The sequence below is a fragment of the Homo sapiens genome, chromosome 17 (assembly GCF_000001405.40).
Source record: "Homo sapiens chromosome 17, GRCh38.p14 Primary Assembly".
NCBI lineage: Eukaryota > Metazoa > Chordata > Mammalia > Primates > Hominidae > Homo > Homo sapiens.
In genome coordinates, this window is record NC_000017.11 from 162,447 (window position 1) to 182,947 (window position 20,501).

Genomic DNA, 20,501 nt, shown 5'->3' on the forward strand with positions numbered 1-20,501 from the left:
GACGTCACCAAGGAAGGGGGCCAGAGAGATGCAATGGGGCCCGCTGTGAAGGTGGAGGAAGGGGCCACAAGCCCAGGAGGGCCGATGGCCTCTAGAAGCTGGAAGGAGCTAGGAAACTGTGGGCTCCCCGGGCTCCAGAAGGAATGCAGCCTTGCCGACACCTTGATTTTAGCCCAGAGAGAGACCACTGCTGGACTTCTAACCTGCAGAGCAGTCCGAGAGTAAACGCGCTGCTTTAAGCCACGAAGTTTGTGGTCATTTGTTGCAGCAGCCGTAGGAGGCTCATCCAAGGAGGACCCCACCTCCAGCCCGATGCCACGGGGTAGGTTCTGCAGGAGGCCTGTGTGGAACTGGAGTCTCCTTCCCAGGGCATTCCCTGCCTTTGTGGACCGTCCCCTCTGCCTGGAACCCATCCCGTCCTTGGGTCTGCCTCGGGGGTGGCCTCTCCGAGCTGGAATATTGCTGCCACTCCCTCCTCCTGTGCCAGCGGCTCTGAGCTCCTTGTCTGAATCGGTCTGATGCCTGCCACACCCGGCCCAGGCTGGGAGGTCAGACAGCCTGGGCTTCCAATTCCAGCTCTGTGGCAGCATCAGGTTCCCCACTGTGGAAAGGGCACAGGAATCCCTCTCTCCCATTGCTTTCAGGAGCTGTTTGTAAGGAGACTGCTCTTTATAAAACACTAGGGAAAGTCCTGGGGACTTCCTACAACTCGGCAGCCATGCACTGCCGGCTCCAGTCCCACAAATGAAGGGTCACTGAGCACACTTCCCTGGTCATACTCGCCCTCGGCCCTCATATCCCTGAGCCCTTCTTGCAGCATAAGGGCATCAAGACCCTGTGTGGGGAGCCCATTTCTTCCCCAGGAGTAGGTGGTGGGGCACTGCCATTTCTCCTACAGTCCTGCCTTCCCTAGAGAAGGGGGAAGGGCCCCTTCTGGGGTGGTCCTCCTGGGCTGCTGTGGGCCCCAGGCCTACCCATTTAGGCCTCCACGTAAACTCAGACTCTGCCCCATGAAATTAAAAATAAAACAGCACTGAAGTGTAGGATGCACAGAAGGAAGTCTAATTAAGTTCTGACTTTCCATGGCTCAAGGTCACCTTGATGCTTTTATTTAACAGCAATTTTTCTCTCTCCTGTCCGAGATGCACCTGTTGTGCTGGTGCCCTGAGCACATGTGTGGTCGGACGCTTGGGTCATCCGGCGTAGGAATGAGGGGCAGATTCTGCCCACTTCATCCCCCTTGCGGAGAGTCAGGGAACAGCCCATCAACACGTTAGATGCTCTGAGAAGTCCTGTGGTACAGAAACCTGTTTAACAATGTTTCCCCATGTTATTTAACCACAGAGTCCTTTGTTTGCACCTAATAGTAACTTCCAGCTGAGAATGCTTCTTATAAAATGCTGGCCTGGAAATTCTCCAGGGGTTTCCCCAGATCAGCAGGTAGGTAACGCTGACTCGTGAGGTCCCCAGGAGGCAACAGGGTGTGGGGCAGACTGGGTGCTCTGTGTGCAGTTGAATGGCTGAGGTCCCATCAGCTTGCTTGGACTCTGAGGGGAGTGGCAGCTGTGGGCCTCCCTGGGTGCCCGCAGCCCAGTCCAGGCCCCAAAGCAAAAGGACCAGAGTGCATTGCCTGAGGTGGTGGGCGGGTGCAGCTGGTGGGCAGGCCTGGGTGGAACCCCTCACCTTACTGGCTCCTGGCAGCAGGTGCAGCTTGACGTAGGGGTCTGCCAGCCCATTGTGGTCCATTGGCTTCAGGCCCTGGGCAGAGAAGAGCAAACGGTGTGAACTGGAAATCGGGGACATGGAACTGACAGGGCCTGCAGATGCCCTTGTCCCCTGGGTCTCCTGGCTGGGCCCATTCATGGCCCCTTTCACAGAAGCCCCCGGGCCCCACACCTCCAGATGGAGGGAGTGAGGATGGCTCAACGCTGATGCAATCTCCCCTCCCCAAAACATCCTGGCCCAGGGCAGCTGTCATGGGGCCTCTGTCAGGACAGACTTTCTCTTGTCCTCATCCTGGAAGCCAGGTGGCTCCCCCTTCTCTGAGCCTCCCTCTCCACCCTGCTTTGCTCAGGCCCTGCCATCATCCTGACTCCCGTCTCCCATCTACCAAGCGTGGCCTCCTGAGTGGCCATGCCCCTCACTGACCCTAAATCCACATAACCCCGGGACACAGTCTGAGACTAGGCCCCATTTCTGGCCATATTTGCCACAACTCCCAGTCAGTCCACAGAGATCACACAAGCAGACTGGCCACAGAGGGTCCCTCCACAAGATGGCACCCCTCTCTCACTCTGGTTCTTTCAGAAAACCCAGCCACGCGTGCACAGCCAGAGGCACACAGAAGCATGGACAGAGAGGGGCTTTGCTGACCTCAGCAGGCTCTTGTCTCTGAAAATTGCATTTGTTTCCTTCTGGGATGGTGCACAGGGATGCAGGGAGGCAGCTGTGGCATCTGTGGGGGTGCAGCCGGCAACCCCAGGATAGTATTCAAAGGGCTTCTACCCAGCCGGGTCAGGGAGGCAGCTCGGCGGCTCACACCAGGCCCATCTCCAAGGGGAGGCTGGGGCTCCCTCCCAGGCCCACCCCACCTCGGTTTGACGGAGCTCTGGGGGATGCGGCAGGGGCTTCCAACCACCTACTTCCCTGCCACTGGCAAAGGGCAGAGGTTTGGGGGCCTGGCTGGCTTGGGCTCCAGGCTCAGCTCCTGTTCACCAGCTGGGAAGTGGATGAGTTACTTTGCACGCTAAGCCTCAGCTTTATCATCTGTTAAAGGGGTTGGCCGGGCACGGTGGCTCACGCCTGTAATCCCAGCGCTTGAGCCCAGGAGTTCAAGACCAGCCTGGGCAACACAGTAAGACCCTGTCTCTTCAAAAAACTAAAAAATTAGCTGGGTGGGGTGGCATGTGCCTGTGGTTCCAGCAACTAGAGAAGCTGAGGTGGGAGGATCGCTTGAACCTGGGACACGGAGGCTGCAGTGAACCATGATCGCACCACTGCACTCCAGCCTGGGTGACAGAGTGAGACCCTGTCTCAAGTTTAAAAAAAAAAAAAAAAAAAGGGCGGGGGTGTAATACTCCCACCTTCCTAGGGCTGGAGTGAGAGGGAGGGAGACTGTGTGGACACAGGGCCTGGCAGGCAGGGTTTGCTCCCTTCCCTGCACGCCAGGCCCCCGTGAGACGCCGGAGAAGCGGTTGAGGTCTGCTGGGTGCATCTGAGCTGTGCCCTGCACTGTGGGGCTGCCTCTGGGACAGGGCCTGGCTCAGTGGCCCAACACGTGCTCAAGGTGACAAGGCTGCTCTTCCAAACCCAACTCCCTCACCCTGCCTTGCACCTTTCCCACCAAGTGCCTGAAGTGCAGAGTTCTGGGAATCTGGTGGCCTGGCCTGACCAGGCGGTGCCTGACTGCTGTGTCTTATTCTTACAGTCCTTATACATTTGTTTGTTGTAGCTTAAAATGTTTCCATTTGGGCCACGTTTCCTGACACGTTTCACTTACAAACCTTTGGGCCACCACATGTTCTGGCGTATGTCTTTCCAGTGGCTCTGGTGGTCCCACCTCCGTACCCCGAGACACCCGTGGGAGCTAGGCTGGGTCGAGGGGCGCTGTCATGCTGGGACGGGAGTGATGCCTGCTCTGTCCTTCAGACCCCGGGACTGTGACGAGGCCCCTGCTGCTGCTCTCTACTCCTCCACCCGGCAGTTCCCTGAGCACCCTGGGCAGCCACACATTTCGCCAAAAGCAAAAGGACCAGCAGGCACTGCCTGAAGCCCTGTCACTGTGCTGCCACCAACTTCTGTGCCCAAACAGGCAGCTTCCCTGGTCCTGACCCGGGGTTCCGCCAGTGCCTCCACCTTCTGTGGGGCTGGCCTCCCACGGAGCCTGACCTCTGTCCACGGAAGGGGAAGGTCGGGAGGCTGTTTCCAGGGCAGGGAGCTGCTAGTGGGGCCCTTGGGCACATGCTCCCCAGCTTGGGAGTTGGCAAGAGACATAAACTGATCCCATGGTTTAGGGGTGGGCCTCACGGGAGGTGACGTGGTTTGGCGGTGTCCCCACCCAAGTCTCATCTGGAGTTGTACTCCCATAATTCCTACAGGTTGTGGGAAGGACCCAGCGGGAGATAACTGAATCACAAGGGGAGGTTTCTCCCAGACTGTTCTTGACGTAGTGAATACGTCTCACGAGATCTGATGATCTGACACTGTTCTTGAGGTAGTGAATACGTCTCACGAGATCTCATGGTCTGACACTCTTCTTGACGTAGTGAATACGTCTCACGAGATCTCATGGTCTGACACTGTTCTTGAGGTAGTGAATACGTCTCACGAGATCTCATGGTCTGACACTGTTCTTGAGGTAGTGAATACGTCTCACGAGATCTCATGGTCTGACACTGTTCTTGAGGTAGTGAATACGTCTCACGAGATCTCATGGTCTGACACTGTTCTTGAGGTAGTGAATACGTCTCACGAGATCTCATGGTCTGACACTCTTCTTGAGGTAGTGAATACGTCTCACGAGATCTCATGGTCTGACACTCTTCTTGAGGTAGTGAATACGTCTCACGAGATCTCATGGTCTGACACTCTTCTTGAGGTAGTGAATACGTCTCACGAGATCTCATGGTCTGACACTCTTCTTGAGGTAGTGAATACGTCTCACGAGATCTCATGGTCTGACACTGTTCTTGAGGTAGTGAATACGTCTCACGAGATCTGATGGTCTGACACTGTTCTTGAGGTAGTGAATACGTCTCACGAGATCTCATGGTCTGACACTGTTCTTGAGGTAGTGAATACGTCTCACGAGATCTCATGGTCTGACACTGTTCTTGAGGTAGTGAATACGTCTCACGAGATCTCATGGTCTGACACTGTTCTTGAGGTAGTGAATACGTCTCACGAGATCTCATGGTCTGACACTGTTCTTGAGGTAGTGAATACGTCTCACGAGATCTCATGGTCTGACACTGTTCTTGAGGTAGTGAATACGTCTCACGAGATCTCATGGTCTGACACTCTTCTTGAGGTAGTGAATACGTCTCACGAGATCTCATGGTCTGACACTCTTCTTGAGGTAGTGAATACGTCTCACGAGATCTCATGGTCTGACACTCTTCTTGAGGTAGTGAATACGTCTCACGAGATCTCATGGTCTGACACTGTTCTTGAGGTAGTGAATACGTCTCACGAGATCTGATGGTCTGACACTGTTCTTGAGGTAGTGAATACGTCTCACGAGATCTCATGGTCTGACACTGTTCTTGAGGTAGTGAATACGTCTCACGAGATCTCATGGTCTGACACTGTTCTTGAGGTAGTGAATACGTCTCACGAGATCTCATGGTCTGACACTGTTCTTGAGGTAGTGAATACGTCTCACGAGATCTCATGGTCTGACACTGTTCTTGAGGTAGTGAATACGTCTCACGAGATCTCATGGTCTGACACTGTTCTTGAGGTAGTGAATACGTCTCACGAGATCTCATGGTCTGACACTGTTCTTGAGGTAGTGAATACGTCTCACGAGATCTCATGGTCTGACACTGTTCTTGAGGTAGTGAATACGTCTCACGAGATCTCATGGTCTGACACTGTTCTTGAGGTAGTGAATACGTCTCACGAGATCTCATGGTCTGACACTCTTCTTGAGGTAGTGAATACGTCTCACGAGATCTCATGGTCTGACACTCTTCTTGAGGTAGTGAATACGTCTCACGAGATCTCATGGTCTGACACTGTTCTTGAGGTAGTGAATACGTCTCACGAGATCTGATGGTCTGACACTGTTCTTGAGGTAGTGAATACGTCTCACGAGATCTCATGGTCTGACACTGTTCTTGAGGTAGTGAATACGTCTCACGAGATCTCATGGTCTGACACTGTTCTTGAGGTAGTGAATACGTCTCACGAGATCTCATGGTCTGACACTGTTCTTGAGGTAGTGAATACGTCTCACGAGATCTCATGGTCTGACACTGTTCTTGAGGTAGTGAATACGTCTCACGAGATCTCATGGTCTGACACTGTTCTTGAGGTAGTGAATACGTCTCACGAGATCTCATGGTCTGACACTGTTCTTGAGGTAGTGAATACGTCTCACGAGATCTCATGGTCTGACACTGTTCTTGAGGTAGTGAATACGTCTCACGAGATCTCATGGTCTGACACTGTTCTTGAGGTAGTGAATACGTCTCACGAGATCTCATGGTCTGACACTGTTCTTGAGGTAGTGAATACGTCTCACGAGATCTCATGGTCTGACACTCTTCTTGAGGTAGTGAATACATCTCACGAGATCTGATGGCCTGATAAGGGGAAACCCGTTTTCCTTGGCTCTCATTCTCTCTCTTGCCACCAAACATGTGAGAAGTGCCTTTCACTTTCAGCCATAACTGTGAGGTCTTCTCAGCCACGTGTAACGGCAAGTCCAATAAACCTCTTTCCTTTATAAATTACACAGTCTCAGGTATGTCTTTATCGGCAGCATGAAAATGGACTAATACAGGGAGGATGGGTGGAAGCGGCCCCGGGGGAGGCCCTGGCTGGTACTGGCACTGAGGGAAGAGATGGGGGGTCTGGCTTTGAGAGGAGAGCTTCTCCCCAAAAACCTAGCCCTGCCCCGCCCTGGGCCTCTCAGAGGCTGTTGCTGGTGAAGTGTTCGGAAGAGGAGCTTTCTAGTCTGAAGTATCATTCAGCCTGAAAAGGAAGTTTTGACACGTGCTGCAATGGGGATGAAGCCTGAAGACATTCTGCGGAGTGAAAGAAGGCAGACTCAAAAGGACAGATCCCGGGGACTGCAGACTCAAAAGGACAGATACCGGGAGACTGCACTTACATGAGGTCCCTAGAATAGTCAAATCCATAGAGAAGGAAGCCAAATGGCAGCCTCCCCAGGGGCCAGGGGAGGAGGAAGGGGGAGCTGTTGTTTAATGGGTCCAGTTTAGTTTTGCAAGCTGAAGAGGGCTCTGGAGATGGGTTTCACAGCAGTGTGAAGGTAGAAGGTACTTAGCACAACTGAACTGTACGCTAAAAATGGTTGAGCGCTGAGGGAAGAAGTAAAAAAAAGTGGTTGAGGTGGGAAATGTATATCTGTGTATTTTACCACAATAAAAATAAAAAGTCTCCCAGAACTGGTAGTGCCAGGGGCCACGTGTTAACTCATTTAATGCTCACAACAGGCATGTAGGGCAGGGACAACCAACCCTATTTACAGATGGGCAAACTGAGACTGACCCTTATAAGGGGGGACAAGCAAGGGTGCACCCCAGGGTGTCCAGCCCCCACCCTGGCCCTCCAGAGGCCAGCCCTCCTTCAGCTCACCCACCCTGGGCCCCTCCCCACACCCCAGCCCAGAGCCCCAGCTCTTCCCCAGCCTGCACCACCCCTTCCCTACAGAACTGGATTTACACAGAGAAGGAACTGGGCCTCCCACCCCCACTTCTGATACCTGAGGGATACAGCCCAAAGTGGACACACACTTACATGTGTGCACGCACGGTACCACACATGTACACACAGAGACACACATACAGCCATGTATGTGCATACACACAAACGCACCTGGAGCTGGGAAGGGAAGGCCCTGGTGTCTGGCATGGAGAGAGGAAGGGGTGGGCTTTGGCCAGAGTGGCCTGGCAGCCGGCACCTCTCCAGTCCCCAGGCCTGGACCACCTCTACAAAGTTGGACAGAGGGAAAGGAGGAAGGGTCTAGCTTGGTCTCTACCTTGGCACAGCTGGGATTTGACAAATGCTCAGTTCTGCTCCTAGGGGTGGGCTGGAGCCCCCGCCAGGCAGGGCTGGACATGCCCTGAGTCATAGCATGGGTGGTTCTAGAGAGGGCAGGGGTGGGATGGAGCGTGCAGGCCTCTCAGTGCCCTACCAGGGCCCTGAGGCTTGCGTGGATGGCACTCACACCTACCCATGGCAGTCCACATGTGGCCCAGGCTGGGCTGGGGGACAGCCTGGGGTGGCACGCAGTAGCCTGTCCTGCTGGGTGAGCATGCTGCCAAGGGCAGCCCTTGCTGCCAGGCTGGGAGGAGGGGCAGGGGGCCTGCAGGTTGGGAGGCTGGGTGGGGCCTGGGCCCAGGCAGCTCTGTGGGAAGCCGCTGGATCTGAGCTGGGCTGGCTCAGGCCCTTACATGGCACTACTAGGGAGACTCTACTGGCCATGCAGGCCCTTACCTTGCGAGAGAACATCAATTTTGGCACCTTCCTCCCACAGGGAGCAATGGGGTGAGGGGAAGGGAACAGGACAGTTGAGAACATGGAGCTGACACATGCTTGAGTGGCAGAGCCAGAGGGCAGCACCAGGGACCAGGCCAGGCTGCAGAGGGGAGCACCAGGGGCCGGGCCAGGCTGCAGAGGGCAGCACCAGGGGCCGGGCCAGGCTGCAGAGGGCAGCACCAGGGGCCGGGCCAGGCTGCAGAGGGGAGCACCAGGGGCCGGGCCAGGCTGCAGAGGGCAGCACCAGGGGCCGGGCCAGGCTGCAGAGGGCAGCACCAGGGGCCGGGCCAGGCTGCAGAGGGGAGAGCACCAGGGGCCGGGCCAGGCTGCAGAGGGGAGAGCACCAGGGGCCGGGCCAGGCTGCAGAGGGGAGCACCAGGGGCCGGGCCAGGCTGCAGAGGGCAGCACCAGGGGCCGGGCCAGGCTGCAGAGGGGAGCACCAGGGGCCGGGCCAGGCTGCAGAGGGGAGCACCAGGGGCCGGGCCAGGCTGCAGAGGGGAGAGCACCAGGGGCCGGGCCAGGCTGCAGAGGGGAGAGCACCAGGGGCCGGGCCAGGCTGCAGAGGGGAGAGCACCAGGGGCCGGGCCAGGCTGCAGAGGGCGGCACCAGGGGCCGGGCCAGGTTGCAGAGGGGAGCACCAGGGGCCGGGCCAGGCTGCAGAGGGGAGCACCAGGGGCCGGGCCAGGCTGCAGAGGGCAGCACCAGGGGCCGGGCCAGGCTGCAGAGGGGAGAGCACCAGGGGCCGGGCCAGGCTGCAGAGGGGAGCACCAGGGGCCGGGCCAGGCTGCAGAGGGCAGCACCAGGGGCCGGGCCAGGCTGCAGAGGGGAGAGCACCAGGGGCCGGGCCAGGCTGCAGAGGGGAGCACCAGGGGCCGGGCCAGGCTGCAGAGGGGAGCACCAGGGGCCGGGCCAGGCTGCAGAGGGGAGAGCACCAGGGGCCGGGCCAGGCTGCAGAGGGGAGCACCAGGGGCCGGGCCAGGCTGCAGAGGGCAGCACCAGGGGCCGGGCCAGGCTGCAGAGGGGAGCACCAGGGGCCGGGCCAGGCTGCAGAGGGCAGCACCAGGGGCCGGGCCAGGCTGCAGAGGGGAGAGCACCAGGGGCCGGGCCAGGCTGCAGAGGGGAGCACCAGGGGCCGGGCCAGGCTGCAGAGGGCAGCACCAGGGGCCGGGCCAGGCTGCAGAGGGGAGAGCACCAGGGGCCGGGCCAGGCTGCAGAGGGGAGCACCAGGGGCCGGGCCAGGCTGCAGAGGGGAGCACCAGGGGCCGGGCCAGGCTGCAGAGGGGAGCACCAGGGGCCGGGCCAGGCTGCAGAGGGGAGCACCAGCGGCCGGGCCAGGCTGCAGAGGGGTCCACAGGCACCCACAACCCCAGCCCACGTAGTGAGGCTCAGAGGGCCTCTGGGCTCAGGCCGTGGACACCCTGCCTGGAGTGGCATCGGCCTCCTACAGTGGCTCGGCTTCCAGGGTGCAAAGTGGCGTCCCCACTCCTCAGGGCGTCTGGGAGGCCTGGAGGCACCAGTACCCAACCCGCCCTCCCTTGGCCTGCAGGACAGACATCACCCTGCCCCTCTCTTTCCCTCTCAGCAGCCCCTCCCCAGGCTCGAGGGTCCTCGGTCCAGGCCTTCATCTTCCCATTCTCATCTGTTTCTTTGCTCCCCGCAATGCCTGACTGTCCAAGGCATTTCTTGGGGTTGGGTATTCAAGAAGGTTTAAAGAAGAATTCCTTCCTGGCCCCGCACCCCACACAGCGCAGACATCCAAAAGCCTGGACAGGAACCTGGGGAGTGGTGTGGTCTGGCCTCCCTGACCTAGGCCCTCTTGAGGACCCCGGGGCAGGGAATTTGGGGGCAGGCTGGCGGGGCCTACCTTGGCCTTGGTGATGGTGCAGTGGAGGGCGTTGTTCTCCTGGTCATACAGCAGGCTGAAGTCCAGCGTGCCCAGGGCAGCTGCGGACAGAGGAGGGCACAGGTCCCACCCTGGCCGCATCTTGGAGAGGCTTCGCCTGCCCCTGTGAGACCAGATGAGCCTGGCCTGGGCAGGTGCCACCGTTCCATGGCGGCTGCCACCAACCAAGCACCTGCTCTATGCCAGCCCCTCACCCATCCTCCCAGTCCCACCCAACCCTGGGAAGTCACAATAATCTCCCCACTTTCCAGAGGAGGAGCTGAGACCCAGAGAGGTCAGGTGGGTCACTCCAGTTCCCTGTCTGGCCCAGTGTGTGGTCCACCTGAGCTGGGCACCCAGCCAAAGGAGTTCCTGCCCTCCTGGTGCAACTGCCAGTCTGGGCCCCGTGCCTCAGTTTCCCTCACCTGTGAAATGTCACAAGGATCACACAAGGCGGAGGAGACGAGGCTTTGAGAGGAACAGGTCCTGGCCAGGAAGATCAGCTGATTTGCTCAACAGTCCCCCAGCCAACACACAGGACTGCAGCTCCTCTGTCTCTCTGGCCCGTTGGGAACCCCGAGCAGGCCGTGAGGAGCCAGCTGGGTCCTCATACTGCTGCCCCCAAGTCTCTCAATGGCAGTGGTAACTCCCAAAAGCCGGGGGGAGGGTGCAGCCATAATTGGGGGAGGTTGCAGCCATAATTGGGTGCAGCTGCCTCCCTCCCCGGGGGCAATCACTCATAGCAGCTGTGGCTTTCCATGCAGAAGCGGCTCCCAGCATGGAGGCCAAGGTGATGGTTGGGGCAGAGCTTGGAGATGATGGTGGGGGGCAGAGCTTAGTGGCAGTCCGCAGACAGCAAGATGCACATTCACAGATGGCTTCAGAAGCCCAGAGCCTGCTCCCAGGCTGCAGGGCTGGTCAAATGGTGTCACATTCCTTCATTATTTACCAAGTGTTTACAACATGCCAGACTCTAGGGGATGGACATCTGTGAGGCAGAGTCCCTATCCCAAGGAAAGCACAGCTTAAGGGGAGGAACAAATGGAAATAATTTGCCGCAGTAGAGTCTGGTGAGCCGGGAGCCATGGGGAGCCCATGTGAATTGGGACCACCAGGGAAGGCTTCCTGGAGGAGGTGATGCTTCACCTGAGCCATGAGGGATGAGTAGGAGTTGGCCAATGGCAAAGAGGGGCTGGGGGAGGTGACGATTCCAACCACAGGCCAACCAGCAGGTACGGGCTTAGTGGCTGGTGTGATCCCGGGATAAGGGAAGGCCAAACTTGAAAGACTGTGTTCTTCAGGCTCTGAGCTAGGCTCCCAACCTGGATCTAGATCCAATTACGGCCACACCTGACCAGGCCCATCATTTACATCTCTTCTGCGGCTGCTTTCCTACTTCAGAAGCAGACCCTACGGCCTGCACAGCTGAAAATATTTACTATCCAGCCCTTCTTTATAGAACAAGTTTGCAGATCTCTGGGCGAGTGCTGGGCCCAGGCATAACAAAGTTTCTTGGGTCTGCAGGGAAATTGGCTAATGAAAGGCCACGAGTGTGGAGTGTCCTTTATTCTGAGCTGGTGATGGGAGTGGCATTTGTCTAGATCATCCCCTTCTAACACGGGTCAGGCACATGTCTCTGTCTTCGCAGCAGTGTGGGGTGCAAGACCTGCCCTCTGACATCAGTCTCCTCGGTTCAAATCCCAGCGTGCACTTCCCTGCTGTGTGGCCAGCTTATCTAACGTCTTTATGCCTCAGTTTACTCATCTGTGAAATGGAGACAACGATAGTATCCACCTCACAGCACAGTGTGCCTGCGGTGTAGGAGGTGCTCAGTAGATCATTATAGAAGGAGCAGATCCCTATGGTGGGTTTTCTAGCTAACAGTACTGGCTTCTCTAAGACCCATTCTGGAATGAAACTGTCCTCAATTGGCTCATTTCCCTCCCTGCCTTTGGGAACAGAACATACAAATAGTCACTTAAATTTTTTGAATAACCTGAGTCATTGCTATGGCCACGATGACTCTTCCGTATGTCACGGTCATGTTCCAGAGGCAAAAGGGGACACGAAGCAACCCCTGCACCAGAGGGTCCCGGGTGGCCCTCTTTTCGGTTTTCTTCATTTTTCTGCCTCTTCCTTTGACATCAGCCTGAAACTCCTATTAGATTACTTGTCTGTGTTGGCGCAGACAGCTCTCACCTATTCAATAATTGTTTCTCCCATGAGACCAGGTGATGATACTTGTTGGAAGTGTGTGCAAACTAAGAGCCAACAGGCCTTGAGTGGCTGGTGTGGGGCTCATGCCTGTCATCCCAGCAGTTTGGGAGGCCGAAGCAGATGGATCACTTGAGCTCAGGAGTTCGAGACCAGCCTGGCCAACATGGCAACAAAAACTACAAAAATGGCCGGGTGTGGTGGCTCACGCCTATAATCCCAGCACTTTGGGAGGCTGAGACGGGTGGATCACTTGAGCCCAGGATTTCAAGACCGGCCTGGCCAACATGGAAACACCCATTTCTACAAAAAATACAAAAATAGCCGGGCATGGTGGCGCATGCCTGTGGTCCCAGCTACTCGGGAGGCTGAGGTGGGAGGACCGCTTGAGCCCAGGAAGTTGAGGCTACAGTGAGTGTGATTGTGCCACTGCATCCAACCTAGGCGACAGAGCGAGATCCTGTCTCAAAAAAATAAATAAATACTAGGTCTTGAGTGAAGCCTGAGGCACGTTCTCCTGAGCAGGGTATGTGTGCAGCAGCAATAGCTGTAGCTGGCCTTCAGCTGCCTGCATGCTAGCTGCCATCTCCACACCAGGCAGGTGAGGCTGCTGGAAGGGAGGTGTATCCCACTGCTCCTGCAGCAATGAACACAGCCACAGCCCGAGATGCACCAATCTGTACTTTTGTAACAATATTCTCTGAAGCTGTTGGCTTTACATGATAGTAAATGGATCTGCTGTTCAGGTCAGGCCTACCTGGGGTTTGTTCCCCCAACGAATTAGCCCCCTGAGCACAGGGACCATGCCTTGGCCACACCTGTGAGACCAACAAACAGCAGATGCAGACACACATGGCTGGTCCATTCAAACCAACTTGCCCTCCAGGTGCTCCCAGGAGCTGGGATCTGGTGTGACACCCAAGTGTAAAAATGCACATTCTGATTTCTGCCTGTTTCCCAACCCCAGAGAAGGACAGCCAGAAGACAGAGCGGCTGCCTGCTCCCCCTGGGACACCCAGCTCCTGGAGGGGAGAAGCCCCTGCACTGGCTCTACAGAAACCCCTGTCCAAGGAGGGCAGCGATCTTCTCCAACTGCCTGGGGGGAAAACTGACACCCGTCACCACCTCCTGGGAAGGAACAGCACACCCAGTGTGTCACCAGGAAGGGACTGATGAATTTCTTTGAACTCCACTGGAAGGTCTGTAAGAAATGATAGTTTATAAATAGAAGCTCGGTCACAGTTTTGAGAGGCTGGTGAAGCTCTCTTACGGAGCACATGGCCCAAACTCTTCATTTCCCTTTAGAGAAATGAGGCTCAGAGAGGGGAGGGGAGCTGCTCAGCGTGGCCCAGCAGACCCAGGCACAGAATCTAGGCCTCTTCACTTCCATCCTGATAGTTTCTCCCTTAAAGCCTACTGGCTCCCAAGAAGTTTTTTTTTTTTGAGACAGGGTCTTGTTCTGTTACCCAGGCTGGAGTACAGTGGTGCGATCACAGTTCAGCCTCCCAGGCTCAAACGATCCTCTCACCTCAGCCTCCCAAGTAGCTGGGACTACAGGCGCCCACCACCATGCCCGGCTAACTTAAAAAATATATTTACAAAAAAAGAGACAGTGGTGTTGGTGCGGGGGGTGCGGGGGGGTAGGTCTCACTACGTTGCTCAGGCTGGTCTTGAACTCCCGGGCTCAAGCAATCCTCCCGCCTTCACCTCCCAAAGTGCTGGGATTACAGGCACACACGGGCCACTCTGCCCTGGTCCAAAAAGCTTTTTTTTGGCCACTTTGTTTAGCTGAAATCTTAGGAGGATGCAACTAAGAAACAAAAAGAGAGAAAAGCAGAGTTGCTCTAGGGGAAGGAGAGTGGGGGCTCAGCCGCTGCCCTGGAGAGCCCTCCGAGTTGGAAAAGCACCTTGGGCTTGTGCTGGGCGTGAGGAGGGCCCTAAGGGCAGGAGAAGGTGCTTCTCTGTGACCCACAGTGCCCTGCCCTTGGAGCGCTCCAATCACATGACCCCACTGAAGTTTACATCTTCGGAAAAATAATGAGGGTTGGTCACTAATGGGCCTTTGAGAGTTGTCACCCGCTTGTCGATAATTACAGAGCTTTAATGGGGCTAATTCAGAGAAAATCAAGCTCAAGCCCCTGTTGGCTCCTCTAAGGCCGAGCACCCCCTGCTTGGCTGATGTAGACCTGACAGCATCATCATAACCTTGGTTTGCACCTGGACTTTCCTGACACCCTTGGGAATAGGAAATCTGCCCTGATTTTTTTTTTTTTTTTTTTTAAGAAAAATGTCAGGCTCTCAAATACTTTAAAAAAAACAAAACAATTGTGGCAAGGACCATAGAAAATCATCAAGCTTGTGTTGAAAGCATTTTATAGTTGGGGAAACAGCCATTCAGCCAGGCCGGCACTGCAGGGGGGACAGAGAGAAATGAGCCATCATCCCTGCTTCCCAGGAGCTTAGAGACGAGTGTTAAGATTTTTATAAACATCTTCATTCATCTGCTTTAAATTGTTGAAAGGTTCTCCATCAACTCCTGGACTCAGTTCAACCTCCTTGGTGTGGCATTCAAGACCTTGTGTGATATGACCACTTTGGCCTCCTCATAGGTCTCTTCCCCTTCTTTGAGCCACTTGGCTCTACTGTTTTGCCTACACTGGGCTGAGTTTCTGACACTTCAGGACCTGTGTACACAGCTGTCCCTCTGCGAAGAGCACCTCCCTTTCCTCTTTTCCCTCTGTCAGCCCACCTCCTCCCTCCTCCCAGTCTTAGGGCTGAGCCCTCTCTGTGAGTGACCTCCGCCTGCCAGAGCTTTCCATCTGGGTTCTTGCCTCCCTGTCCCTCGCTGTGGGGTCACCTGTTTGTCTTGGTTTTGATGAACACCCTCAGGTCAGAGGTTGCCTCTCAGCATTCTTGTATCTCTGTGCCTAACACAGAGCCTGCCACATAGTTGGTGCCGTAACATCGAGTGCATTACAAATATCACAGGTCCAGGTAGAACATGACTGGGGCCAAAGAGGTTCTGGGCTCAAAGGAAGGGGCACCACAGCCCATGGGGGCTGGAATATGCCCCCTAACACGGAGAACCTTTGTGGTGGACTCAACCCCTTGTCCTTGCTCCAGACCTGCACAGGCATCGGTCCTGACCCGGTCCTGGGTGAACCACACAGGGCAGGTTTAACACGGGCATGTGATCCAATTCTGGCCAATGAGACAAAAGGACAGGTCTCCTGGGGACTTCTGGGAGAGGTTTCCTCGCTCTTAAACTGAGACATGAGAAAAGGAATCGGTCCTTACCAATTCCTTACCCAGTCAAGGACCTTATTGTTACATGTGATGCCTGGACCTGCAGCAGCCACCTTGGACCTGAGGGTCCTGCTTGGCTGATGGAGACTGACAGCGTCATTCTGACTTTGGTCTGCACCTGAACCTTCCTCACCCAGACACCCTTAGGAATAGGAAACGGGCCTTGATTTTGCTCTACAAGGAAAAACGCACAGCCACGAGCAAAGATGGACAGAACCATCACCCCAACAGTGCTGAGGGGCTGCTGCATTGGTGCACCCTGGTGCAGCAAGACCTCAGCTGTCCTCATTGTTTAAGCCACTCTGAGTTGGTTATCTGTCACTTGCAACCCATGGCACTCTAGTGATTACAGCTTTGAAGAATGGACTGGGCTTCCACAGGTGGGTGCCGGGCAGGAGAGCCTCTCAGGTAGGGGCAGCGTGTGGGGTGTGTGGCCCACGGCCCACCTGGAGGGCAGCACGCCACAGAGGCCACCCTAGGAGAACTGGCAGGGCCGACACTGGGTCCTGCTCCTCATTGGGACATTCACTGCCTTTCCTCCCTGTCATCGCCCCTCTTCGAGATCTGCTGGGAACATGCGAGTTATGTGCTTGTGCTTTGACATGACTTAATAAAGAAAGGGCTTTAAAAAGCCAGGAGAAAAGGCTGAGTAAATAAACAGCACTTCACTCTCTGCCTTGGACAACAGAGCAACCGCCCTCATTTCTTTTTGTCAGAACAGAGATAATCCAATAATTAGGGCAGCAAATAGCATAACCCTGGCTAAAGCCGTAATGAACCATCTGGCTTGAATCATTGAGGCTTATTCTAAGGATCTGGTTGTCACAGCCCAGAGGGGGGCACCGCCTGGGGTACTGGGTGGAAGGCAGTCCCACCCCAGAACCTGTTCCCCCACCATGGACAAGAGCCAAGATTTCTGGGCTTCTGGGCCTAGGATGTTTGTCAGCCTCCCATAGGATCCAAGCCTAGGGTGGGGCCCCCCTCGAAGGGGGCGACAGGGGCCCAAGCTGGCCCTAGCTCAGTGGCACACCGTCCTCCTTAGCTCCTCTGAGCCCGTCTTCAGCATTTCTTTGGCATGTCCTGATAATACGGGTGTGGCCAGCCCACAGTTCAAGCTGGCAAAGCTGCATCCAGCTCTGCCCTGCACTGCTGACCTCATGTGAGTCTGGCCCCTGCACCGCATGTATCTCAGGCCAGGGGCCCAGCCCTGCTGCCAGGACATGCTCCCTGAAGGGCTGCTGAGCTGATGGATTGGAGATGGGGCTGGCTGGCCTGAGTTTCTAGCTTCCTGGTCCCCTCCTTGCTTTGTGGGTTCAGAGACAGCAAAAAAAAGAAAAAGAAAAAGCCTCTTGGCCATTCGCCATGCAGAGGGCCCTCTGTGGCACCAGGAGGGTGGCCTGAAGCTCTGCCCTCCCCTCTTACTTCCTTGGTGCAGCAGCAGAGATGCCAGAAATGGGAACAACTTTCCCATCCGTTCTTCTGGGGGAGGCTTTGGATTCAGGGCAGCCAAAGCAGTTACTTGGGTCCCACTCAGGGCCCACCCAGGGGATCACCAAGTCCAGGGTGAGCTTCGCACAGGGTGCCAGGGGCAGAGGGGAGGGGGGGTGGATCTAGGGCACAGCCCTGAGGGCAAAAAACTCTTCCGACCCAATCTCCCCAAGCTGGCAGGAAAGTGGAGGGACAAGACTGCTCCCCAGCCCCCACGCCCCAGGGCAGGGCCTTCATGTGCCAGGCGCTGGCCCGAGGGCCGTGGTCCAGGCCTCTAGAAAGTGCAAAGCAGGCAGTTTCCCCTACAGGGGCCCTGCTCTAACCGGCCACTGCTGATGGGCCTCCCCAGGTGGGGCGATGGGGGGTCTGTGCCCCGGGGGCACTGGTAATCCCTACCTTCAGCTTCTGGTGGCACATTTGATGCTTGGGAAACTCCAGGCCCGCAGCCCACAGGCCCTGGTGAGTGCCCAGGCCAGGCGCAGACATCCCTGCTGCGCAGGGGAGGGGCAGCACCAGCCCTGGAGAAGGGCCACATCCCGGGAAGGGCTGGGGTTTGACGAGACGCTGGTTTTCCAGGTCTCAGTGACAAGTCTGGAGCCACAGCTGAGCTAGGAGGGGGTTCTCACATGCCATCCCCACCCCGCGCAAACCGACTCCTCACTGGACTGCGACCTCTTCCGGCCTCGGTTTCCCAGCCAGTCCCGGCTCGGGCCGGACAGGCACCCTCGGGGACGGGAAAAGGCGCCAGGAGCGCCCACCGGCCGGGCCTCGGTCCCGGGACTCCGGCGCTTGCCTGCTCCCGGGGGCTCAGGGCTCAGTCCGGGAGGAGGGGGAGCGGGCTGGGGGGCCCTCTCTGCCCGGGGGCCGCGGGCGTAACAGGTGGGCGAAGGTGCGCGGCCCTGGCGAGGGCTGCGGCGGGGTCCATGGACACCGGAGGAGGAAACGCCAAGGTTTTTCCAAAGGACAAGCGGCCCCGCGGTCCTCCTGGTCCTCTGCTCGCGCGCCAGCAAAGCAGCTGCGCTCTGCGGGCCGCCGGGACCACGCGGGAGGCCGGGCCGCTCCCAGCCTCGGGCCCCTCCCCAGCTCGCCCCAGCCCCGACCCTCGGCCGCGAGGCCCTCCCGGAGCGGCTGGCGAGCGGGGAGCGACCGCGCGGCCGGCAGCAACTGGTGTCTCCCCGGGACGCAGCTCCGCCCTTCCCGGGAACAAAAGCAGCCGCCCGCGCCGGAGCTCCGGGAGGGCGGGCTGGCAGGGAGGGGGCGCGGCGCCGGCTCCGAGGAACCCGGCCCCGGAAATGGGACACCCCCAGGGGGTGCCCCCGAACTTCCCTCCTGTCCGGCCTGGGTCGGGGGAGGGCTCGAGGCCGGTGGGCAGGGCGCGGAGAGCGCACCGAGTGCGCCAGGGGCCCGCAAGCCCGCGGCGGGGTTGTGAACCGAGGCAGAGCGCGAGCGCGCGAGGGGGACCGGCGGAGGGAAGCCGCGAGGCCGTGGGGGGGCCGAGCCCGAGCCAGGGGAGGGGGCGCGAAGTCGGCGCGTGGGAAACTTACTGCAGTCGTCCGACTCGTAGCCGTCGGCGTCCGGCTCGTCCTCCGGCGGCTTGGCTGGCGGCCGCGCGGGGCTGGGACCCGGGCTGGGGCCCGGGCTGGAGCCGTAGGCTCCGAAGAGCTGGTCCACATCCTCGTCGTCCTCGCGGGCGCCGTCGGAGGGGCTGCGGCGGCCGGCACCGGCCACAGCCGGGCGCGCGGGGGCGTCCGGGGGTGCAGCGGCTCGGGGCCCGGCGTCCGGGGGCAGGCCCCGCGGGAAGCGGGGGAAGTAGTCGGAGATCTGCTTGATGGGACGGATGGGGCCGGGGCACACGTCGATGGCCATATGCTCCTGGATGCTGATGGTCGCCTTCTCCCCGCGCCGCCGGAGGGTCATGCAGGCAGCGCCGCCCCGCCCCGGGCGCGGCCCGGCCCGGCGCGACCCCGGCCCGGGGGCGGCTCAGCAGGCCCGGCGGGGCGCGGCGGGGGCTGCGGGCATCGCCGGCCGCGCCCCCGGACGGCCCTGACTTGGCCGCTGCCCGCTCCGCTGCGGACGGCGCGAGCGAGTGCCAGAGGCCGGCAGGCAGGGGGCGGGCCCAGCCCGCGTCACCCGGCAGCAACCAAGCAGGGTGAGTGTGCGGGCTGCGCGGGCGGCGCGGAGCGGAGGGAGCCGCGCGGCGCCACACTCACTCGCACTCGCACTCACACCGGCGTGCACGCCGGCCCGGGACCCCGCGCGCGCACACTCGCGGCCAGGCAGGGCCGCCGGGCGCCTTCCGCTCATGCACGCCCGCGGCACAAGCTGGGAGTCAACCCGGCAGGGACCCGCAGGACGCGCACCCACACGTTCCCGCGCGTGCCAGCCCACGCTGGGCTCCGCTCGCTCTCTCGGGACACACGCAGGTGTGCAAGTGCACACATGCGTGTGCAGAGACACGTGGTGGAAGCATCCGCTCGCTCACACCGTAGGTCACACACGCAAACGTCTGCATGCGCACATGGTTGTTTTAGGAAGCTGTGACACAGTACACCCCCAATGCACAGGCGCGCACACCTGATGGAGCACACACACAGGTGATCAAGGGCACCCAGGGCACAGGCTTCCCTACCCCCAAGCACCCCTAACAAGATGCACAAACATGAGCCCATAGAAGTGATCAGGGGACCCTGGGCACAACTCCTTCTCTCCTCCCCCTCTAGCAGGACGTGGAGTCACACTCCTAGCATGTAGGGACAGGTTGCCTACACACGGGCAGGACATGTACACGCTCAACTGCACAAGGACACCGGGGCTCAGTCTGTGCACACATATTCTCAGGTCACATACAACACAGCACTCTAACCTCGGGTCAGTCCCTCACTTGGTCAGTGAGTACAGTCTGAAGGACCCCCCGGGGCAGGGTGGCTGAGAACCTGCACAGGGCCTGGTCAGGAGGGAGTGAGGGCAGGGCCTGGGCGGTGAGTGATGCAATAAGGCTGGGCGGCACGCTCCCCCCACCCCCACTCCTACTCTAGGCCTCCCACACGGTCAGATCACTAAACAAATCCCAGAGGGCCCAGCCCTGGCTGTCCGGCTTTCCGGGACCAGAGCTCTGTTGGGAACTGCTGCTGCTTGGACAGGTGTGTTCCCGGAAAGCCCTGGGCATGGATGGAATCCTGTTTACCCTCTGGTTTCCACTGATGTGTAAGACACTTAGCTTCTTAGTGGGTGCCTTTGGTGCATCTGAATGAGGGGCTCCAAGCCTCTCTTGTTCCCCCACCATAACCCCTGCAGAGTGATGGGGAGCAGAGGAAAGAGAGGCAAAGCCTTGGCCTGTGGCTTCCAGCTGCACAGTTCTGGCAGGCTATTTGACCTCTTTGAGCCT

General features: G+C 58.3%; 1 protein-coding gene across 6 annotated transcripts in view, besides 2 other annotated features; it reads right to left on the reverse strand.

Moving 5' to 3' along the window:
- The window catches only part of DOC2B (double C2 domain beta), a 38,862-nt gene extending 19,658 nt beyond the window's left edge, over nucleotides 1–19,204 (reverse strand). For 5 of the 6 annotated variants that reach the window (XR_007065502.1, XR_942190.3, NM_003585.5 and 2 more), the window contains exons 1-3: nucleotides 18,661–19,204; nucleotides 10,091–10,170; nucleotides 1,684–1,758 (exon numbers count right to left, since the gene is read on the reverse strand). Coding sequence is in view for 4 of the 6 variants with exons in the window: in NM_003585.5 (NP_003576.2) it covers nucleotides 1,684–1,758; nucleotides 10,091–10,170; nucleotides 18,661–19,033 (528 nt within the window). In the remaining 2 variants the exon portion in view is untranslated. The remainder of the gene's footprint in view (nucleotides 1–1,683; nucleotides 1,759–10,090; nucleotides 10,171–18,660) is intronic. The other variant, XM_011535363.4, reaches the window with a different exon arrangement.
- Nucleotides 17,560–18,126: an enhancer, noted in NCBI's record as "H3K4me1 hESC enhancer chr17:29797-30363 (GRCh37/hg19 assembly coordinates)". NCBI's record gives its function as "activates a minimal SCP1, AML or CMV promoter by ChIP-STARR-seq in naive H9 embryonic stem cells {active_cell/tissue: H9 hESC(naive)}" and the evidence as "EXISTENCE:reporter gene assay evidence [ECO:0000049][PMID:30033119]".
- Nucleotides 19,588–20,089: an enhancer, noted in NCBI's record as "H3K4me1 hESC enhancer chr17:31825-32326 (GRCh37/hg19 assembly coordinates)". NCBI's record gives its function as "activates a minimal SCP1, AML or CMV promoter by ChIP-STARR-seq in naive H9 embryonic stem cells {active_cell/tissue: H9 hESC(naive)}" and the evidence as "EXISTENCE:reporter gene assay evidence [ECO:0000049][PMID:30033119]".